This window comes from Homo sapiens, chromosome 16, assembly GCF_000001405.40.
Source record: "Homo sapiens chromosome 16, GRCh38.p14 Primary Assembly".
Taxonomy (NCBI): Eukaryota; Metazoa; Chordata; class Mammalia; order Primates; family Hominidae; genus Homo; species Homo sapiens.
The window spans coordinates 87738951-87760705 of record NC_000016.10 but is presented as its reverse complement, the minus strand read 5'-3'; the positions used below and the strand labels follow the sequence as shown (position 1 = coordinate 87760705).

Genomic DNA, 21755 nt, shown 5'->3' with positions numbered 1-21755 from the left:
GATCTTAGGCTTCTGATATATAGCACTCCTGAGGAAAGCCACTTTGAATGGGGATTAGTTTTATTTTTTTTGTAGAGACTTTTTTTTTTTTTTTTTTTTGGGACGGAGTCTCACTCTGTCACCCAGGCTGGAGTACAGTGGCGCCATCTTGGTTCACTGCAAGCTCTGCCTCCCGGGTTCACGCCATTCTCCTGCCTCAGCCTGCCAAGTAGCTGGGACTACAGGCACCCGCCACCAAGCCTGGCTAATTTTTTGTGTTTTTAGTAGAGACGGGGTTTCACCATGTTGGCCAGGATGGTCTTGATCTTCTGACCTCGTGATCCGCCCGCCTCAGCCTCCCAGAGTGCTAGGATTACAGGCGTGAGCCACCGTGCCCGGCCCTGTAGAGACTTTTTTTTATGTTGTCCAGGCTGGTCTCGAGTTCCTGGGCTCAAGTCACCGTACCTGGCCTTTTTCTTTTTTTTTTTTTTTAATGATATTTTAGAATTTTTCCATAAGTAATGTTGCCTGAAAGTCAGATTTCATGTCAGGATATAATTTAAGGTGTTGGCAGTTCCCTGGGTCAGCTGGAAATGCTTCCTAATAGGAGGGAGCAGTTATCCTGAGATTAAGATCTTTTGCTTGGTAACCTTAATATCTTCCAACTTCCTATTTCTTAATCATATTACTTTAAAACCTTGTGAGAATGACCAGTTTCTAAATGAGCATATCGTCAGGATTGGCTCTGATGTGACCTACCTGGAAAATGGGGGCATGACACCAGCTGCCTCAGTACCTCACCTGCCTGTGCGGCGGCAACACCTGGGCTGGTGCCGCTGGTGGCTGGGTGGGGACCTCAGTTTGGGCCCCGTGTAGATCGTTTCTGAAGTTGTGTTTGGTGCTTTTCTGCAGAAAATCAATAGGTATTCAGTGAGAAAAGATTCAGGGTCAGAGGAATTTGGGAAACACTCTTTATTTTTTTTTCTGAGACGGAGTGTAGCTCTTGTTGCCCAGGCTGGAGTGCAATGGCACGATCTCGGCTCACTGTAGCCTCCTAGGTTCAAGTGATTCTCCTGCCTCAGCCTCCGGAGTAGCTGGGACAATAGGCATGCACCACCACGCCCGGCTAATTTTGTATTTTTAGTAGAGACGGAGTTTCTCCGTGTTGGTCAGGCTGGTCTTGAACTCCCGACCTTAGGTGATCCACCCACCTCGGCCTCCCAAAGTGCTGGGATTACAGGCGTGAGCCACTGTACCCGGCCTATTTATTATTTTTAAAAAGTTTTTTTTTTTCTTTTTTTCTTTTCTGAGACGGAGTTTTGCTTTTGTTGCCCAGGCTGGAGTGCTATGGCGCGATCTCAGCTCACTGCAACCTCTGGAGTCAGGCTGGCCTCAAATTCCTGACCTCAGATGATCCAACTGCCTTGGCCTCCCAAAATGCTGTGATTACAGGTGTGAGCCACTGCACCCGACCTAAAAAGTTTTTTTTATTGTGGTAAAATGTTTAACAAAATTTGCCATTTTATTTTATTTTTGTTTGGTTTTGGTTTTTTTGAGACAGAGTTTTGCTCTTGTTGCCCAGGCTGGAGTGCAATGGTATGATATCGGCTCACCGCAACCTCCACCTCCCAGGTTCAAGCAATTCTTCCTCAGCCTCCCAAGTAGCTGGGATTACAGGCATGCGCCACCATGCCTGGCTAATTTTGTATTTTTAGTAGAGATGGGGTTTCCTCATGCTGGCCAGACTGGTCTCGAACTCCCCACCTCAGGTGATCCGCCCGCCTCGGCCTCCGAAAGTGCTGGGATTACAGGCATGAGCCAATGCGCCTGGCCAAAATTTGCCATTTTAATCATTAAAACTGTGCAGTTCAGTGGAATTACTTCATGTCGCTGTGCAACCATTAGCACTAACCAGTTGCAACATTGTTTTATCACCCCAAATAGAAACTCTAGACCAACCTTGTCTAACTGGTGGCCCAGGACAGCTTCGAATGCAGCGTGACACGTATTTGTAAACTTTCTTAAAACATGATGAGATTTTTTTTTAAAGCTCATCAGCTATTGTTAGTGTTAGTGTATTTTATGCGTGGCCCGAGACAATTCTTCTTCCATTGTAGCCCAGGGAAGCCAAAAGATGGGAGAAGTGTCTAGACCCTTCAATGGTTGCTCCCTGTTTCCCCTCCCCCAGCCCCCTGGTGACTTCTGGTCAACTTTCTGTCACTGTGAATTGGCCTATTCTAGGTATTTTGCGTAAGTGGAGTCATAGAAGTGTCTTTTTGTGACTGACTTCCTTCACCTGGTATGTCCAAGTTCATCAGTTCTGTGGCATGTGTGAGAACTTTATTTCTTCTTATGGCTAAATCCTGTTCCGTCTGTGGGTATGCCACATTGTGTTTGTCCACTCATCTGCAGACCAACACTTAGGTTATTTCTACTGTTTGGCTTTTGTGAGGCCGTAACGAGCATTGCATACAGGTATCTGTTTGAGCTAATGCCTGGGAACGAACTGCTGGATTATGTGGTGATTCTGTGTTTAGCTTTTAATACTGGTTTCTTTCCTGCAGAAATTCCCAGCCTATGACATGTTTCTATGCAAATAAATCCCCAATAGAAAATAGAGTTCTCAGATTTCCCAAACTCACTTGACCTTGAAACCTGTTTTTCCTTTGAGAAACATCTTTTGGAGTTGGCATTATGGAGCACGCCTTGGGGAACGCCGTCTTAGAGGACTCTGAAGGGAGGATCTTTCCCAGTGATTCGCCAGATAGTCACTGTGTCTTTCATTACTTTCAACTGAAGTGGCCCTATGTATTTATTTATTTATTTTTTGTTTTTTTAAGACAGTCTTGCTCTGTCTCCCAGGATGGAGTGCAATGATGCAATCCTGGCTCACTGCAGCCTCTGCCTCCCGGGTTCAAGTGATCCTCCTGCCTCAGCCTCCTGAGTAGCTGGGATTACAGGTGCCCACCACCATGCCTGGCTACTTTTTGTATTTTTAGTAGAGACGGGGGGTTTCACCGTGTTTGCCAGGCTGGTCTTGAACTCCTCACCTCAGGTGATCTGCCCGCCTCAGCCTCCCAAAGTGCTGGGATTACAAGTGTGAGCCACCGGGCCTGGCCCATAATATTATTATGTAATTTCCTTGTAGCTCTTCTTTTGTTCTCATGTGAAATAAATAGAAAGTTGTTTGTATTTTCTAGATGGAAGATATCTGGCATGTATATTGAAGTACTTACATATGGACTTTTTTTTTTTTTTTTCAGATGGAATCTTGCTCTGTCGCCAGGCTGGAGTGCAATGGCATGATCTCAGCTCACTGCAACCCCCAACTCCCAGGTTCAAGTGGTTCTCCTGCCTCAGCCTCCCGAGTAGCTGGGACCATAGGCACGCACCACCATGCCCAGCTAATTTTTCTATTTTTAGTTGAGACGGGGTTTCGCCATGTTGGCTAGGATGGTCTCGATCTCTTCACCTCGTGATCTGCCTGCCTCGGCCTCCCAAAGTGCTGGGATTACAGGCAGGAGCCACTGCTCCTGGCCTAGTTACTGGACTTTTTAGAATGGTTTTGAGGTGATTTGACAGGATAGGCTCTTAAAAGAGGACAGTTCTGAGGTCCAGGCACGGTGGCTCACACCTGTAATCCCAGCACTGTGGGAGGCCGAGGTGGGCAGATCACTTGAGGTCCGGAGTTTGAGACCAGCCTGGCCAATGCAGTGAAACCCCATCTCTACTAAAAAATACAAAAACTAGCTGGGTGTGGTGGTGGGCACCTGCAATCCCAGCCACTCGGAGGGCTGAGGCAGGAGAATTGCTTGAACCCAGGAGTTGGAGGTTGTGGTGAGCTGAGATTGTGCCATTGCACTCCAGCCTGGGTGACAAGAGGGAAACTCCATCTCAAAAATGAAAAAAAACAAATCAAAAAAACAGTTCTGGAACATTTGATACATCAGTAGGGGCATCTGGACTTATTCCTGCCTGGGGAATTTTTTTTTTTTTTTTTTTTTTGTTAATACAACCAGACACTGTGTCAGTCCAGCTCCATGGTTGTCCTTGGAGTGTGGCCCTGGGCACTGGTAGAGGGGTTGGTGTTCAAGTGGCACCTTTGCTTCCTTTCTCGATGCCAGGCTCTCCTTTCAGGAAGTGTAGAGGCAGCCAGTTTGTGGTGACAGAGGATTCTGTGAGGAAGGGGACAGCGCTCAGGTGGGTATCGGGGGTGATCTTGCTGACCTGCCGCTTGTGTGTCTTGTAGGTTAAATGCCTCCCTCTCGGTTCATCCTGAGAAAGATGAGTTAATCCTTTTTGGAGGTGAATATTTCAACGGCCAAAAAGTAAAGTATATATTTTTTTCTTTTCTTCCCATGTTGCGTGAGTATCATTTGACAGAAAGTTAACTTAAGGCAGTGACATCAAATATGCGTTAGCCCCTTCACCCCTTGTATCACGCGCTTGAGCCGTCAGGCCTGATGTGAGACGTCGCCAGGATGCTCCAGGCCCTGGCATGACTGTTGATGACTTCAGTGGTCCTGGGGTCTCTATTCCTGGGACTTAGGCTGAGGCCCAGCTCTGCCGTCATCACTCTTGGCGGGCGCACCCCTCTTTGTGGTTGTCTGTGCTGTTCTTCCTCCCAGCGGGTTTCCAGGTTTCACACTCAGCTTTCAGGTTGTCTTAAACACGGAAAGTGCTGATAAATTTTAGGGCTAATTTTTATTTTTGAGCAGGCCAGTAAGACCTGTGTTTCACAATTGTGTGTGACACACAAAAGCAGGAGCTCACCTTCCCTGCAGCCCGGGATGGGCCTTGGGGGTTTGACTGCATTTGTCCATCTTCGTCTCTCAGTTTTCGTGCATTTAGAAACTAGGCTTGACTGGGTACAGTGGCTCATGCCTGTAATCCCAGCACTTTGGGAGGCCGAGGTGGGCAGATCACCTGAGGTCAGGAGTTTGAGAGCAGTCTGGCCAATGTGGTGAAACCCAGTCTCTGCTAACGATACAAAAATTAGCGGGGTGTGGTGGCGGGCGCCTGTAGTCCTAGCTACTTGGAGGCTGAGGCAGAGAATCACTTGCACCTGGGAGGCGGAGGTTGCAGTGAGCAAAGATTGCGCCATTGCACTCCATTGTGGGCAACAGCGAGACTTCATCTCAAACAAAACAAAAACAAAAAAACTAGGCTGGAATTAGGAGAATGACCAGTCCTAATAACAACGAGGGCTTTCAGTACCTTCCAGATTGATGGGCCTGGTGGGCGTTCGGTCGTTTTCATTGTGTCGTCATCCCCAATGGCCCCGGGGACCCAGCCCATGGCCTCCCTGTGCTGGTATGGTTTACATTCCTTTAGCATGTCAGTTTCCCAGGGAATTGTCATGATTAAGATTGTTCTCACCACTTCCTTGGAAGCGTATCATTTGTGACACTGACATTCTTCTTCCTTCCTGTAGACTTTTTTGTATAACGAGCTCTATGTCTACAATACCAGAAAGGACACCTGGACCAAAGTTGACATCCCCAGTCCACCTCCGAGGCGCTGTGCTCACCAGGTAATGTCAGCACTGACTCTCAGCCACCCTCCCTCTTCCCACGTGGGAGTCTGGTAGACACACGGAGAGTTGATAGGTGACAGGCAGCTGGTGCGGAGGGGCTGGGCCCTGTAGATCGCCTGGTTCTGCTGTTTGCTCACTTGGATTCCTTACTCAGCTTCTTCACTGTGAGACGGGGAGGAGAACACCTGCTCCCCAGGTGGCATGAGGATCACATGAAATATTCCATGTAAAATAGCTCGTGTCGTTCCTGGTGTGTCGCAGCCACTGGCAGAATGCTCACTCCCCCTAGGCCCACGGTCTGGACTAGATGGTGAAGACAGGAGAACTGGATGTTCAGGAAAGGTGTGCATGGTGGAAGGAAAACAATTGTATTAGCGGAAACGAGTGGTAACCGGATCACAGAGAAGTGGCACTGACTTAGCACGTGGTTAGCTGGTTTCCTACCCAGGAGAGCAGTGTCAGCTGTCGCTCTCCTGTCAGGGAAGGGGCTTCCGGAGTTAGACGTTCTGTAAGCTCTGTGAGGATGGGAACTCTGTCCTTGTCCATTGTTCAACTCTGTGACAGTTAGACTCGCACAGAAAATTTGAATGAGTGCCTGCCTCTCCAGTGCAGAGAAAGATCAACGCATCAGGTGACCACAGCATGATACATGCATTCCTGTGCAATATTTCCTTCCCCCTTTGCTGATTGTGTGCTTAGAACTCACCTGCTAATGAAGTTGGTTTGGTGAGGAGGACCTGCCTGCCTGAGCTGTGTGAACATCCCGTGCAGATGCAGGCTTGCAGGCATTTGGGCTGGTTTAAAAATCAGATTTGTATACGCTTGTATTTGTTGTTGTTGTTGTTGAGATGGAGTCTTGCTCTGTCACCCAGGCTGGAGTGCAATGGCCTGATTTCGGCTCATTGCAACCTCTGCCCCCCAGGTTGAAGTGATTCTCCTGCCCCAGCCTCCTGAGTAACTGGGATTACAGGCACCCCTCACCACACCTGACTGGGATTGTATTAGGTGGCTAAGGTGCCTTCTACATTTGAATCTTTATTTTATTTTTTTTGAGAGGGAGTCTTGCTCTGTCTCCCAGCCTGGAGTGCAGTGGCATTATATCAGCTCACTGCAATTTCCGCCTCCTGGGTTCAAGGGATTCTCCTGCCTCAGCCTCCCCAGTAGCTGGGATTACAGGCACATGCCACCACGTCCGGCTACTTTTTTTTTTTTTTTTTTTTGAGATGGTGTCTTGCTGTCACCCAGGTAAGAGTACAATGGTGTGATCTCATCTCACTACAACCTCCGCCTGCCGGGTTCAAGCGATTCTCCTGCTTCAGCCCGCTGAGTAGCTGGGATTACAGGTACCCGCCACCACGCTTGGCTAATTTTTTTTTTTTTTTTCTCCTTGAGATGGAGTCTCTCTCTTGTTGCCCAGGCTGGAGTGCAGTGGCGCGATCTTGGCTCACTGCAACCTCCGCTTCCTGAGTTCAAGAGATTCTCCTGCCTTAGCCTCCCAAGTAGCTGGGATTATAGGCGTGTGCCACCACGCCTAGGTAATTTTTTGTATTTTCAGTAGAGACGGGGTTTCACCATGTTGGCCAGGCTGGTTTCGAACTCCTGACCTCAAGTGATCCACCCACCTCGGCCTCCCAAAGTGCTGAGATTACAGGCGTGAGCCACTGCTCCCAGCCTGAGTGTCTGGATTTTTTCACCTATCAAACAGTGTTGCATTTTGTCCTGAGGTGATTCAGTTCCTTGCAGATCATCTTGATCTTTGACGCTCTCTCTAGGGCTGGCTTAGCCCTCAGTGGTGGCCTTTCTGCAGTCTCTAGTGAATGACCTGTGTGGTCAGTGACATCTTTTCACCTCGTCTGGTTGGAACTTGCCTGTTTCCAAGCCCTGTGTAAGCTCTGATAGTTCTCAGCATCAGAAGATGCTTTTGTCTTCACAGTGGTGGTTCCTTGGTCTCACCCTCCCAGGGTGCAGTTTAGTGTACAGAGACTCCAGGGGACGCCCCCGTGCAGATTTCCAGGGCTTTTTCTCCCATAGCTTCCTCTCTCCAGTGCTCTGCCCTGCCACTTTTAGCTGCCTCTGCGTCCCTGAACTCCAGTCCTTGTCTCCTCAGCTATGCAAGACCACCTGCCCTGCCTGTGCCCCTTGTCCCTGCTCCAGGGAAGGAGCTGCCTGCAGGGGCTGGAGTCATGGGTCAGGGCTGCGTGGCGTGTTTCCTGGCTCTCAGGTTCACAGTCCTGCACTTCCCGCTTCCTGTTGTCTGGAGGTTGTTGCTTCCTAGATTTCGTCTGGTTTTTTCCTTGTTGATGGTGCGGAGCTAACGTGGTACAGGTTGCTCCATCGTGGGCAGGAGTAGAAGTTTTATCTGTGGGTCTCCGTAGTTTTAATCTTCCCTTGAGTCATATTTATTTTTTTCCCTGGTGTTCATTATCTTTGGGGCGTAGGCTATACGAAGCTCTTAGACTGCTGATCAGCCTGCCTTTGGGTGGTCCTCTGGGTCGGACTGGGTCAAGCCTGGGATTGTAACTAAGATGGAGGAAAGGATGTTGAAACAGTGCTGTGGGCTGGGCATGGTGGCTCATGCCTGTAATCCCAGCACTTTGGGAGGCCGGGATGGGCGAATCACAAGGTCAGGAGATCGAGACCATCCTGGCCAACATGGTGAAACCCCGTCTCTACTAAAACTACAAAAATTACCTGGGCGTCGTGGCGCGTGCCTGTAATCCCAGCTACTCAGGAGGCTGAGGCAGGAGAATCGCTTGAACCAGGGGCGTTGGAGGTTGCAGTGAGCCAAGATCACGCCACTGCACTCCAGCCTGGTGACAGAGCGAGACTCTGTCTCCAAAAAAAAAAAAAAAGAAAAAACAGTGCTGTGGATCGGATTGTGGATTACACTCTTGCCTGGAGTTTGACTTCATTTTTTTCTTTTTGGTCTTTTTTTTTTTTCTTTTTTGTGGAGAACGGGTCTCGCTATATTGCCCAGGCAAGTGTTGAACTCCTGGGCTCAAACGATCCTCCTGCCTCTGCTTCCCTGAGAGCTGGGATTACAGGCGTGAGCCACTGTGCCTGGCCATTTGGCTTCTTTTTTTTTTTTTTTTTTTTTTTTTGAGACAAAGTCTCACTCTGTTGCCCAGGCTGGAGTGCAGTGGCGCGATCTCGGCTCACTGCAACCTCCGCCTCCCGGGTTCATGCCTCCCGGGTTCATGCCATTCTCCTGCCTCAGCTTCCTGAGTAGCTGGGACTACAGGCACCTGCCACCGTGCCTGGCTAATTTTTTTAGTATTTTTAGTAGAAATAGGGTTTCACCATGTTAGCCAGGATGGTCTTAATCTCCTGGCCTCGTGATCCGCCCGCCTCGGCCTCCCAAAGTGCTGGGATTACAGGCGTGAGCCACCGTGCCCGGCCGACTTCATTTTTTAAGAATGGCTTTATTTTTTATATTTTAGAAATAGGGTCTTGCTTGTTGTGAAGGCTGGTGTCAAAGTACTGGGCTCAAGCAATCCTCCCACATGAGCCTCCCACAGTGTTGGGGTTACAGGCATGAGCCACTGCACCTGGCCAGGAATGGCTTTAGGGACTGATTATGTAAGGTGTAAATATTCATTCTGAAAAAAATGAAAAGAATTAAAAGGCAAGTCCATTGTCTATTCTCCCTAAACTGAATTTGTATTTTCTGCATGTTTTCTCTGCACATAAAGTTCATTTTTTTTTTCTTTTTTTTTTGAGATGAAGTCTTGCTCTGTTGCCCGGGCTGGAGTGCAGTGGTGCGACCTCAGCTCACTGCAACTTCTGCCTCCCAGGCTCAAGCGATTCTCCTGCCTCAGCCTCCCAAGTAGCTGGGTTTACAGGCGCATGCCACCACGTCTGGCTAATTTTTATATTTTTAGTACAGACAGGGTTTCACCATGTTGGTCAGGCTGGTCTCAAACTCCTGACCTCATGATCTACCTCCCTCGGCCTCCCAAAGCACTGGAATTAGAGGCGTGAGCCACCACGCCCAGCCAGTTCATATTTCTATGCATCTATTTCACGCTAACTGGAGCGTGCATGTATGTGTTCTTTCTATAGTGTTTTTTACCGTTGATGTATTATTGTAGGATTATTCTGTGGCATTGAATAGTCTTCCCGAGATGATAGTTTAAAACTCTATTTACTGTGTGGCATGGTTGTGCCACCTAACTTCCTCTAGACTCAAAACATTTGTTAGGTTTCGGCCTTGAGCCAGTCATCATGTCTGCTGTAAAGGTGTAAATTGGTCAGTTTCTCCCTATGGAACTACTGGGCTTTTAGAATGATAGGAAACCTGGCCTGTCCCTTTACAGGTAAGTCCTCTGTGCTGAGATGACAGATGCAAAGAACAACTGGAAGTGGGTGGGGTGGAGAGGGACACGCCACCCCCTGTGTGCTGCTACCACCTGCGCCCGCTGTCTGGCCCAGGAAGGAACCGCATCGGTGCAGAGGGGCGGCACTGTGGCCGTTTCTATGTGCGGGCGGGCGGAACACCGACTCAGAGGTGCCGGGAGGGAGCCTGCTGAGGACCACTGTCTGCCCCACCCGAGGCGCACTTGACCTTAGACGGGTTGGCACTCTCATTTACCAGCCCTCTCTGCGCCCTGTGTGGAACCATTCTTCGTCCTGCTAGATCCTCACTCTTACCTTGAAACGAGAGGAAATAAAACAAGAGGCTTTTATGAAAGAACCAACTCTGCAATGACCACGGCTGAGCTGGGAAATGGGGCTTCACCTGCTGCCAGGTTGCTCAGGTCGCTTTTTCTCTCTTAATTATGCCACTAGGTGCGTTACAGTCAGGCGAAGCTGGGCTGCGTGACCCTGGGCAGGGTGGGCGGCTCTCACCTGTGGAGATGCAGCACTGAGGGGCCCCTCCAGCGTGGTTGCTAACACAGACTGCCTAGGAGCGTGCTTTTCTCATCCTGGACCCCAGCTACTGCTTAATTTGCAGGTTTGGAGGAAAGACCCCGTGGAGCTTGGTGGTCTCTGCCATTGCTTGTAGCCCAGCAGTCTGTCCAAGCAGCTCTTTCCACAGATGGATGTGTGCCGTCCCCTAAAGACTCTGCCTCCCGCAGTTCTTGGGGGCCCTGAGAGGGAGTGGGCCACGGAGGGCCTCATGTGGAGTAGCCGGTGGTGTCTGATGACCCGTCAGGGATGCCGTTGTTTTTGATTGGTGGTCTGCTCTCTCCTCAGCATCCCCTGCTGCCGGAGTGCTTTGCCGTGTGTGGCCCAGAGGGCATCACTCCCGCTGCGCTCCTTCACCTTTACTGTGGTGCTGAGTCTTTATTAATCATTCATAATGTCACGTAAGGCTGGGTGTGGTGGTTCGTGTGTGTAATCCCAGTGTGCTTTGGGAGGCCGAGGCGGGAGAATTGACTAAAGCCAGGAGTTTGAGACCAGCCTGGACAGCGTAGACGCCATTGCTGCAAAAAATTAAACAGCTGGGCATGATGTCACATGCCTGTCGTCCAAGCTACTCAGGAGGCTGAAGTGGGAGGGTCACTTGAAACCATGAGGTCGAGGCTGCAGTGAGTGATGATGGCGCCACCGCACTCCAGTCTGGGCAATAGAGCAAGACGTGGTCTCTAAAAGGAAAAAACATAAACACTTTCTTTCTTTTTTTTTTTTTTTTTTGACATGGAGTCTCGCTCTGTCGTCCAGGCTGGAGTGCAATGGCACAGTCTTGGCTCACTGCACCCTCCACCTCCCAGGTTCAAGCGATTCTTCTGCCTTAGCCTCCCAAGCAGCTGGGACTACAGGTGCATGCCACCATGCCCGGCTAATGTTTGTATTTTTAGTAGAGATGGGGTTTCACCATGTTGGCCAGGATGGTCTCTATTTCTTGATCTCGTGATCTGTCCACCTCAGCCTCCCGAAGTGCTGGGATTACAGGTGTGAGCCACCGCGCCTGGCACATAAACACTTTCTTTTACGTGCACATTGTACTTCTGAGGCTAATTTAGTTGGCACATGATAGCAAGGAGAGGGATTAACGAGAGCAGGCAGACAGCTTTATTGTGGATATTAATAAAAGGAAAACACTGCTAGGTTGCACCACACCGTTGTTAATGTTTGAAGTAACTAGCTGTGTCCACTTTAATGGGATATGGCATTGTCTACATGTAAATGGATGTTTATCTTGCAACCTAGGGATACATGAAGGTTTATTAGACCCTTGACTGAGGACGTGCTTTCCTACGAGGGTGTTTGTCTGGAATCCTCCCCTTAGAGGCAGGAGAGGAAAGTGGCTGAGTGTGGGGCTGGTCATGTTGCAGGGCATCCGAGATAGTACTGAAGCGCTCACCACTACCGGTCACCCATGACACTGGCCCTTCTGCTGTGTGGCTGTGCCCTGACCTGTCACCTTTCTTTTCACAGGCGGTGGTAGTGCCTCAAGGTGGCGGACAGCTGTGGGTCTTTGGAGGGGAGTTTGCCTCTCCCAACGGAGAGCAGTTCTACCACTACAAGGATCTCTGGGTCCTGCATTTGGCCACCAAGACCTGGGAACAAGTCAAGTAAGAAGCCAGATGAGAAGCTGAGCTCCGGGCATGGCTCTTCTGTGCTTGTGTGCTGAGCCCGAGTGCTCGGAGCAGACCTCAGAATACCAGGGTTCAGAGGAACTTGGGTCACAGTCCTGGAGCCCAGCCTCGCTGGGTCCTGGGAGACCACATTTTCTCTGGACCCTTCATACAGAAGCCTGGGCCGGGTGTGGGGGGTGCCAGCTGCCTGGTGTTGTTCTCCAGGTTCCTCTTGTTGTTGGCCACCAGCCTCTCGCTGCCTGTGTTGCAGCTCTTCTCCTGTGGTCTTCTGTTTACATCATTGGAGGCAGCTCTGGGTGCCCAGCTTGTTGGAAGGGGGGCCCCATAGCGATGTGTCATTGACTAAAAGGCACGTTCTTTCTGTGTCGAGTTGGTGTAGAAACCGTGGAGCTGGTATGAGACAGGAAGGATGTTGACATTTCTCTTCAGTGAACCCTGCTCAGCCTCTTGATTTCCACCTCTGTCGGGAATGTTGCTGATGGGGTTTCTGATGCATGTTTACCACGCACGGGTGTCTCCCATTAGTCAAGAGCTACATGTTTGTCTCTCCGTGTAGAGAGCCAGATGGCATGTTTGCATATAAATTATTTAAGAGAAGAAGTCTAGTCGAATGACAGACTGAAGTAGAGTTGTTAGTGTCCTTCTATGTGTGGCCTGGCTCGATTGCTGCGGCCATGACCCACCATTACGCACACCATCTCTCTGCCATTAAAGCAGCAGAGCGGAAGTGCCCTTGCTTCTGGGATAGAGGCCGCCGCACACAGGCCTTCTCCACATCCTGGGGCTTCAGCCGGAGGGCAGCGGCGCTCCCTGGAGCCCGGGCTTGGTTATGTCACAATGAGCCAGTTCCGGGTGTTTTCTGGAGTTTGGTCCCCAGCTGTATTGCAGTGAGCCTTGTCAGGGTGTTGAGTCCTGTTCGCTGGCTGCACTGCTCTGCCTGGCTCTAGGCCGGGAATGTTAACCAGTCAAATGAAGAGTCTGCTGTGGGTGGGGAGGGTGCAGACAGATTCCCTGCCCTGGGCCCACCTGCTGGAGGAGGACATGACCATAGCCTTACAGTGGGACCCGGAAGGTGCTGTGGTGTGGGGTGGGTTACTGTGTTCCCAGGCTTTTCCGTCCCTTTTCTCATGCTTGCTTTGAGAAAGGTTCGTAATTTTAGTAGGCGCAGCAATTGGGAAATTACTTTCATGCTAAAAATGGATTTCTTTGTGTATATCTTGAAGCTCACGTATTTCCACTCAGCACACAGTTGTCCTTTTGCTTTATTCCTTTTGGAGCCCGCTTGTTACTGATTTGCTTGTTTATCTTTGGCAAATCGATTGATTTTTTAATAGCATTTTGTCAGCTTTGGTATCTCTTGTTCACAATTGACAGGTGAGGAGAGTGAAGTCTCTGTGATAGAATGCGGCTAACCCAGCACCCAACCCAGCAAGTCCCGCCAGGCTGGTGTTGGCTCCGGTGCCTCTGTGGTGACTCTGTGGTGACTCTGAGCTGTCTGTGACATGAGGGCTCTCTCGTGCCTTCAGGCTTTGCTGGTTCTGTCACTCGGATCGTGGGTATCTGTTCCAAGGGAATAGGGATGCACTGTGGGTACCTGGTCACTTTGGGAGTGGCCCTGGCCCCTCTCTTGGGCCGGCAGCTGCGGATGGCAGCCCCTACCTCGTGTGCAGCTCCAGCTGCATCCCACACTGCAGGCTCGGTCGTACGCGGGACATCCGTGGCAGCTGCCCTGGGTCTGGATTGTCTGATAAACAGACACCTCATTCCTCGAATGCTTGCTAATGGTAATTAAAACAGGAGACCTGTTTTAAAGGTATATTGTAGAAGCTATTAGACTTTTTTTAATAGTGATCCTGCAAACATACAATGTAGTTGCGATTCTTGGCCCCCAGTTCCAGTCTCTAGAGGGAGTGGTGGGGCAGGAACAGGGTCATTATGTGCTTCACTCTCTTCTTTTTGCCAGAATCACCCTTTGTGGAGGCATCTGTCTCTGGTGGTGATTTCTGGTTCTCCTTGGCCTAAGTAACCATTAGCAAGGGAGACCTGTGTGGGGGATGAACAGAGATACCTCGCGGAGCATTGCTTTGAGACGTTTGCCTTGGCAGCCAGGGTGTGGTTCCGCAGGTCACCCTTGGTCCTGGAAGGTCGTGTGGAGTGTGCGTCTGATAAGGAGACACAGCCTGTTGTGAGTACGGATTTGGAGGTCAGGGAATGGAGGGTGTGCGCTTAATCTTTCTCTCACTCTCTTTCTCTCTCTGTCTCTTTCTCTCTTTCTCGCTCTCTCTCTCTTTCTCTCTTTGTGGTCTTGTCTTTTTCTCCTCTCTGTCTCTTTTCTCTCTCTCTCTTTCTCCTTCCTTTCTTTCTTTCTTCCTTCTTCAAGAGACAAAGTCTTACTCTGTTGCCCAGGCTGGAATACAGTGGTGTGATCACACCTTATTGCAGCCTCAAACTCCTGGGCTCAAGTGGTCTTCCTGCCTCAGCCCCCCTAGTAGCCAGGATTACAGGCGTGCACCACCGTGCCGGGCTAATTAAATTTTTTTTTCTTTTTTTAGAGATGGGGTCTTGTCATGTTGCCCAGGTTGGTCTTGAACTCTTGGCCTCAAGAGATTCTCCCACTTCAGCTTCCTGAGTAGCTGGGATTATAGGTGTGAGCCACTGTGCCAGGCTGAGCTGCTTAATTTCTGTATTTCTACTGCTCAGCAGGATTCGGTTACTGCTGCTTAATGTATTTGTGATTGGGAGATGCCTAATGTTGAGCCTTATTCAGTTGTTAAGACCCTGACGAGACGCACAGCGGTGACAAATGGTCTGCAGGAGATGTTCTTTGACAGCTGATGTCCGTGTCCCTTTCCGCATTCTCTCCCACCCTGTAGTCAGCTCGGGGTGCTGAGCCCTTGCCCTCATAAACACCAGGCGCCTTGACTGTCCCCATGGCCTCAGCCTGCCCTCTCCCACCCTGCCCCAATGTCGTCTTGAAGACCTTCAGTGCGAGTGAACGCTTCTCTTGCGGTGACAGTTGACTGCAGTCTGTTGTGTACCAGCTCCAAGCGCATCTTAGCTAAGGTTTTCTGAGCAAGACATTCAGCAGAAGCCAGAAGAGGTGGATGGATTTGCCCATATGAAACAGGAAGGTCTTTGTGTGGAAGATGATGCCACAGGGAAAGTTAAAAATGGTGACTGGTGGGGAGAAGGTACCTGCAGCATCAGGCGGAGCTCACGTTCCGGGAGGTGGTGCCCTCTGCAGCAGAGCAGAAGGCGGGGCAGAGGCACCACAGGGCGGGCCCTGGGGCGGGTGCTGCGAGAGCAGTGCTGGGTAGTATGGGCTGGGCAGAGGCACCAAGAGGTGGCCCCGGGGCGGGTGCTGCAAGAGCAGAAGGCGGAGCAGAGGGCACCCTATGGCCGGCCCCAGGGCGGGTGTTGTGAGAGCAGTGCTGGGCAATATGGGTGTAGGGTGAGGGTGGAGAGAACATGCCCCCACCGCTCAGTGGGTGGCACCTGCTCATTGGAATTTTAAATGTGCGTGTCCCCTGACCCCCAAGTTTAAGGATTATACCCTAAAGAAATGCTTCCTCTTATTTCGTACAAAAATATATACAAAAAACAGGATGCAGAACAACATATGCTTGGAAAAAAGCCTGCATGTGTACACGTGTGTGCACCGCGTGTGTGCAGATGATTGCATGTGTGCACGTGTGAGCATATGTGAGTGCATGTGCCTGTCTATGCCTGTGTATGCATGTGTGTGACTGCATGCGTGTGAGCGTGTGTGTGCTCGTGTGTGTGCACTTGCAAGTGTGTGCTGACGCAGTGATCTGGAGAACCTGGTGCGTGCACACTGTACGTGCACAGGAGAAGGGAGAAGGTCTGTATTGTTTCTGAGGTTTTTTCTGATTCATTGATCTTTTCTTGGTATCATTTTTTATGCTATTTTAATTACTGTAGCTTTATGGTATATTTTGATAGGTTGGAGGATTTTTCTCATTTACTTAAAGTCTTTGCTTTTTTCATGTATTTTGTTTTTATGAGCTTTACCATCAGTTTTTCAAATTCTATTTTTTTTTTTTTTCTGAGACAGTCTAGCTCTGTTGCCCAGGCTGGAGTGCAGTAGCACAATCTTGGTTCACTACAACCTCCACCTCGCTGGTTCAAGCCATTCTTGTGCCTCAGTGTCCCGAGTAGCTGGGATTACAGGTGTCTGCCATCATGCCTGGCTAATTTTTTTTTTTTTTTTTGGAGACGGAGTCTCATTCTCGTCGCCCAGGCTGGAGTGCAGTGGCGGGATCTCGGCTCACTGCCACCTCCACCTCAGAGGTTCAAGCAATTCTCCTGCCTCAGCTTCCTGAGTAGCAGGGATTACAGATGCCCGCCACCATGCCCGGCTAATTTTGTACTTTTAGTAGAGATGGGGTTTCTTCACGTTGGTCAGGCTGGTCTTGAACTCCTGACCTCAGGTGATCCCCCCACCTCGGTCTCACAAAGTGCTGGGATTACAGGCATGAGCCACTGTACCCAGCCTTAATTTTTGTATTTTTAGTAGAGACAGGGTTTCACCGTGTTGGCCAGGCTGGTCTTGAACTCCTGACCTCAAGTGATCTGCCCCCCTCGGCCTCCCAAATTGCTGGGATTACAGGCATGAGCCACCACGCCTGGCCCTCAAATTCTAATGTTAAAAGTCCAGAAGGATTTTGACTGGATTGCGTTTGCTGATAAATCGCATTTAGGCAGTGACAGCATCATACCCCTCATTCCTCCCCATCGGGAGCATTGTGTATGTCTCCATTTGGTTTTTTTATTTATTTAAGAATTTAAACCTGGGCTATGGTGGTAAGAGTGTCAAATCCTGACCTCTAAACACCCTGGGAAGTTAGGTTTATTTATTTATTTATTTACTTTTATTTTTATTTTTTTTGAGGCGGTGTCGCGCTCTGTCTCCCAGGCTGGAGTGCAGTGGTTTGATCTCGGCTCACTGCAAGCTCCGCCTCCTGGGTTCACGCCATTATCTTGCCTCAGCCTCCCGAGTAGCTGGGACTACAGGCGCCCGCCACCACGCCTGGCTAATATTTTGTATTTTAAGTAGAGACGGGGTTTCACTGTGTTAGCCAGGATGGTCTCGATCTCCTGACCCTCATGATCCACCCACCTCGGCCTCCCAAAGTGCTGAGATTACAGGCATGAGCCACGGCGCCTGGCCAGGTTTATTTTTTTTAATATTCAGTCAAGTTTAAAATGGCCTGAAGTAGAATTGTAGAGTCCAGGCCGGGTGCAGTGGCTCATGCCTGTAATCCCAGCACTTTAGGAAACGGAGGTGGGAGCATCACTTGAGCCCAGGAGTTTGAGACCAGCCGGGACAACATAGTAAGACCCCATCTCTAAAGAAGTTAGCTAGGTGTGCTGGTGTGTGTGTAATCCCAGCTACTTGGGAGGCTGGGGTGGGAGGATCACTTGAGCTCAGGAGTTCAAGGTGGCAGTGAGCTGTGATTGCATCACTGTACTGCAACCTGGGCCACAAGTGAGGCCCTGTGACTTAACGAAACATCAGAATGCAAGGCATACACATTTATAAAGTCTTTGACCTCATGTCTGATGGTTCTCCCAAAAGCCTCCAGTTGGTGCCGGTGCTGGCGTGTGGAGGGCTGACTCTTGGCGTGATGCCTGTGCAGGTGCTCCTGTTTCACAGTTTTCCTCAAGTGTTCTCCGTGCTCGTCGTCACTTCATACCTGTGGCAGACACTGGACTACAGCTGCGGCGCCTTGCAGAATGAGTCTTCCCTTCCCTGATAGGAAGGCGTTAGGGCAACTCGTCTGGAGGGGCCGTGTTTTGATTCTGAACTTAGAGAACAGTGGGGGGTTTTCCTGGCACAGTGGCCAGCAGAGCTGTCTGCTGGCAGAGAAGAGGATCTTGAGTAGTGGTTCTCAAGTCTTCGTACTCCACGTAGACCCTAGGGAGCCCAGGAGACTGCTCCTTCCTGCCCTCCCACTCCGGACATCAGTCCCATTCAGAGCAGGTTGATGTGTGGTTGAGGAATCTGTGTTTTACCCTAACCTCTCCTTGTACCCTCTCCACGATCCCTATCCTGACAGCTGTGGACCATAGACGGGGTCCAGTTGTGATCTGATCCATCAGCCTCTGTGACTGGTGGAAGGCATGCTTATTTTGAATATTGTTCAACTGATGTGAAGTTTTTTAGTTGCTGCTTAAAAGAAGTAAGAATATTCATGTAAAATACCTCTTAGATCCTTAATAATGAAAGTAGTGTAGGTTTTGCTTTTGTAAGTTACTAATGATTGCAGAATGAAAGCATTCTCTTAACGGTGGTTTGGCAGGTCAGGCTCTGAGTGCTATGTGGCCGGATCGTCAGGGGCTAGTGTAGCTGGGGATGGTACAGGGGACTGAAGGGTGCAGGCGGCCTGTTGATTTCATGGGCTGGGCTGCGGTGTGTGGCATCCTGGTGCAGTGCTGCTGCTGCCTGTAATTGGGCTTGGGGGTTCACACACTATGTGGCCGCTGCTGAGAGAGGACTACTCTGGCTGTTTTTCCTCTGTCATTTTTTTTTTTAAATTGATCTAAAAGGAAAGGTCAGGAGATTCAGCCACAACAAAGACGGTTTTTGCCCTTTCTGGGGAAGATTGCTGTGTCAGGCCTCGTGCAGAGCACGTGGGAATCCCTGTGGGGTGGGCTTATGTCTTTTGAGAAGTCCAGGAAGAGCTCATCAGGAAACGGAATAGGCGTTGCTACCATGACGCAGCCCTGCACTGCGCATTCATTTTTTAGTGAATATTTTTTACTTCTGTGGGGGAGTTGGTTTTTCAGCCGAGGATGTGAAGTTGGCGGGAATTAAATATTGGTAGAGGCGCAGGGAGTCTGGATTCAGTATCTGGAGTAGTCAGTCTCTTCCTTGGCTTTTAAGGGTTTTCTTGTAGGAAGGCAGAATAGAGTCCCTCCTGTTATCTGGTCATTTTTAACAGCGATGCATATTTTGGGATGCTGATAATCTGATTTGAGTTGTGTTAATGTATAGCAATGGTCCCCACCCTTTTCGGCACCAGGGACTGGTTTCACGGAAGACAGTTTTTCCACCGCTGGTGGGGAGGGATGACGGTTTCAGGATGAAACTGTTGCACCTCAGATCATCAGGCATTAGATTGTCCTAAGGAGCTCACAACCTAGATTCCGCAACCTGGATCTATGGTGTGTGCAGCCCACAACAGGGTTCTCACTCCTGTGAGAGTCTAATGCTGCTGCTGCTTTGACAGGAGGTGGGGCTCAGCCTTTGATGCCTGCTGGCCCCCTCACCTCCTGCTGTGCGACCTGATTCCTAACAGGCCATGGACCTCCAACTGGCAGGCAGCAGGGCGCCTGGGCCTCTGTCCAGGCCAGCGCTGGCTGGCTGCCTTCTGCTATGTGTTGGTTGGTTGGCTGGCGGGTGTTTTTGTAGCACATTGGATGACTAGTGGATACTTTTTAACAGTCTCTCATTGTCTTCTCCATTCTAGCAACAGACAGGACATCATGTGGATACTTTGTAACAGTCCCTCATCTTCTCCATTCTAGCAACAGACACATATACTTGACGTCATAATGGTTTGGAAATGAGGGGGGTAATGGCAATGCTGACCTCAAGACCAAAACTCACGTGCGGGAGCATCCGTGCCTCGTTGGAGGGCTGCGTGTGGCCAGCGCTAGCAGCTATTTTGAGATCTCTTCAGTCTCTTGCTTGAGTGGGAGTTGCCTGCAAAGCTGCCCCATTGCGACTTTGCAGCATAGATCTCCGTACTGTTTCTTATTTTTGTTTCTGTGTGTTTGTTTTAAATGTGTGTGCGCTCATGTGAGTTTGAAGGGAGTTAGATGCAACAGCAGGAGCTGTGCTCAGGGCAGTGGTGTTAATTATGGAGGGCGTGGGAAGGGCTGGGAAGAGGAGGGGGTTGTAAGACTCCCCTTTTCCCTCGCATGTAAACAGATGCTGGTGACTGAAAGTCTGTCTGCGGTTATTGGCAAGAGTGACTGGAAACTGTGAAACACTAAAAACACCAGCATCTGGTGTTTGCAGAGCATTTTCCTTTGACGAAGGTGTGTCCTGGTGGAGATGGGTCACAGCTGGGGGTGCAGGCAGCTCCCAGGAAGGTGGGAGCCACCCTCCGCTGGGCTGGGCGGGAGAGAGGCCCTGTTGCCCAGTCCGGCCTGGATCCTCCCAGCATTAGGCTCTGGAGCAGGAGGGGAGGCGGCTGCTCCTGGGAACCCCCAAAGTAGGGTTTCCCCTCTCCCCACCCCCACAACTTGTCAATCTCCCGTTGTGCTGCTCAGCCCTGGGCCTCTGGGATAGGGAGCAGAGCGGAGCCGGTGGTCCCCTCGGGATGCACACATGTCGGGTGGGATCACTGGAGCTCTCTCATTTCCCTCCTCAGTCACGGTGGGCCTGCCCTGCCGGCTGAGCTTGCTGGCTTTGAAGATTCAGAGTTTGGTTAGGTCTGCCTGCCACACATCACAGCCAGCGTTTCTCCAGGCACTTGCCACCTTCTCTTCCTGTCCCCTGGAGAAGGTGCAGGGGGTTGGGGGAGATTCGTCTCCCTCCATTGGTTTCTGGGCCAGTGCCCTCTGAGGGATGATCTGTGACTCCACTTTAGGACCCCGCCCGATAGGTGTTTCATAACAGCTTTCTCTGAGATGTGATTCATATACCCTCAAATCACCCTTTAAAATGTGTCATTCATTGGTCTTTAGCATGTTCACAGAATTGCGCAGCCAACACCATGATCTAAAGTTGGTGCATTTTCATCCCCCAGAAAGAAAAACCGTCTTTTTAGCAGACACCCCACCGTCCCCGGTCCCTGCTGTCTGTGTCTGTGGATCTGCCTCTTCTGGGTATTTCATAAAAGCGGAATCAAAACACGTGGCCTCTGTGACGGGCTCTTCTTTCCGCGTGGTGCTGTCAGGACGTGTCCTGCTGTTGCGAGTATCAGCACTTCACTCCCGTGGCCAGATGAGGTGCTGGTGTGTGGATGTATGACGTGCTGGTGTGTGGATGGATGACGTGCTGGTGTGTGGATGGATGACGTGCTGGTGTGTGGATGGATGACGTGCTGGTGTGTGGATGGATGAGGTGCTGGTGTGTGGATGGATGAGATGCTGGTGTGTGGATGAGGTGCTGGTGTGTGGATGGATGACGTGCTGGTGTGTGGATGGATGAGATGCTGTTGTGTGGATGAGGTGCTGGTGTGTGGATGGATGAGATGCTGGTGTGTGGATGAGGTGCTGGTGTGTGGATGGATGACGTGCTGGTGTGTGGATGGATGAGATGCTGGTGTGTGGATGGATGAGATGCTGTTGTGTGGATGGATGAGGTGCTGGTGTGTGGATGGATGAGGTGCTGGTGTGTGGATGGATGAGATGCTGGTGTGTGGATGGATGAGGTGCTGGTGTGTGGATGAGATGCTGGTGTGTGGATGGATGAGGTGCTGGTGTGTGGATGAGATGCTGGTGTGTGGATGGATGAGGTGCTGGTGTGTGGATGGATGAGGTGCTGGTGTGTGGATGGATGAGGTGCTGGTGTGTGGATGGATGAGGTGCTGGTGTGTGGATGGATGAGGTGCTGGTGTGTGGATGGATGAGATGCTGGTGTGTGGATGGATGAGGTGCTGGTGTGTGGATGGATGAGGTGCTGGTGTGTGGATGGATGAGGTGCTGGTGTGTGGATGGATGAG

The 21755-nt window shown here is 50.4% G+C and overlaps 1 protein-coding gene and 1 long non-coding RNA gene across 12 annotated transcripts in view, besides 1 other annotated feature; both read left to right on the top strand.

Moving 5' to 3' along the window:
* The window catches only part of KLHDC4 (kelch domain containing 4), a 67841-nt gene that overhangs the window by 5281 nt on the left and 40805 nt on the right, over nt 1-21755 (top strand). For 4 of the 11 annotated variants that reach the window (NR_147833.2, NM_001184856.2, NM_017566.4 and 1 more), the window contains exons 3-5: nt 4229-4307; nt 5414-5512; nt 11897-12033. Coding sequence is in view for 3 of the 11 variants with exons in the window: in NM_001184856.2 (NP_001171785.1) it covers nt 4229-4307; nt 5414-5512; nt 11897-12033 (315 nt within the window). In the remaining 8 variants the exon portion in view is untranslated. Of the gene's footprint in view, nt 1-4226; nt 4313-5413; nt 5513-11896; nt 12034-17485; nt 17718-21755 lie in introns of those variants that run through there. The other 7 variants (NM_001184854.2, NM_001351938.2, XM_047434253.1 and 4 more) reach the window with 5 other exon arrangements.
* Nucleotides 11600-12251: an enhancer, noted in NCBI's record as "H3K4me1 hESC enhancer chr16:87782061-87782712 (GRCh37/hg19 assembly coordinates)". NCBI's record gives its function as "activates a minimal SCP1, AML or CMV promoter by ChIP-STARR-seq in primed H9 embryonic stem cells {active_cell/tissue: H9 hESC(primed)}" and the evidence as "EXISTENCE:reporter gene assay evidence [ECO:0000049][PMID:30033119]".
* Nucleotides 17724-20943, top strand: LOC124903751 (uncharacterized). The gene is made up of 2 exons (XR_007065173.1): nt 17724-20124; nt 20838-20943. It is a non-coding gene; the product is annotated as an uncharacterized LOC124903751 (long non-coding RNA).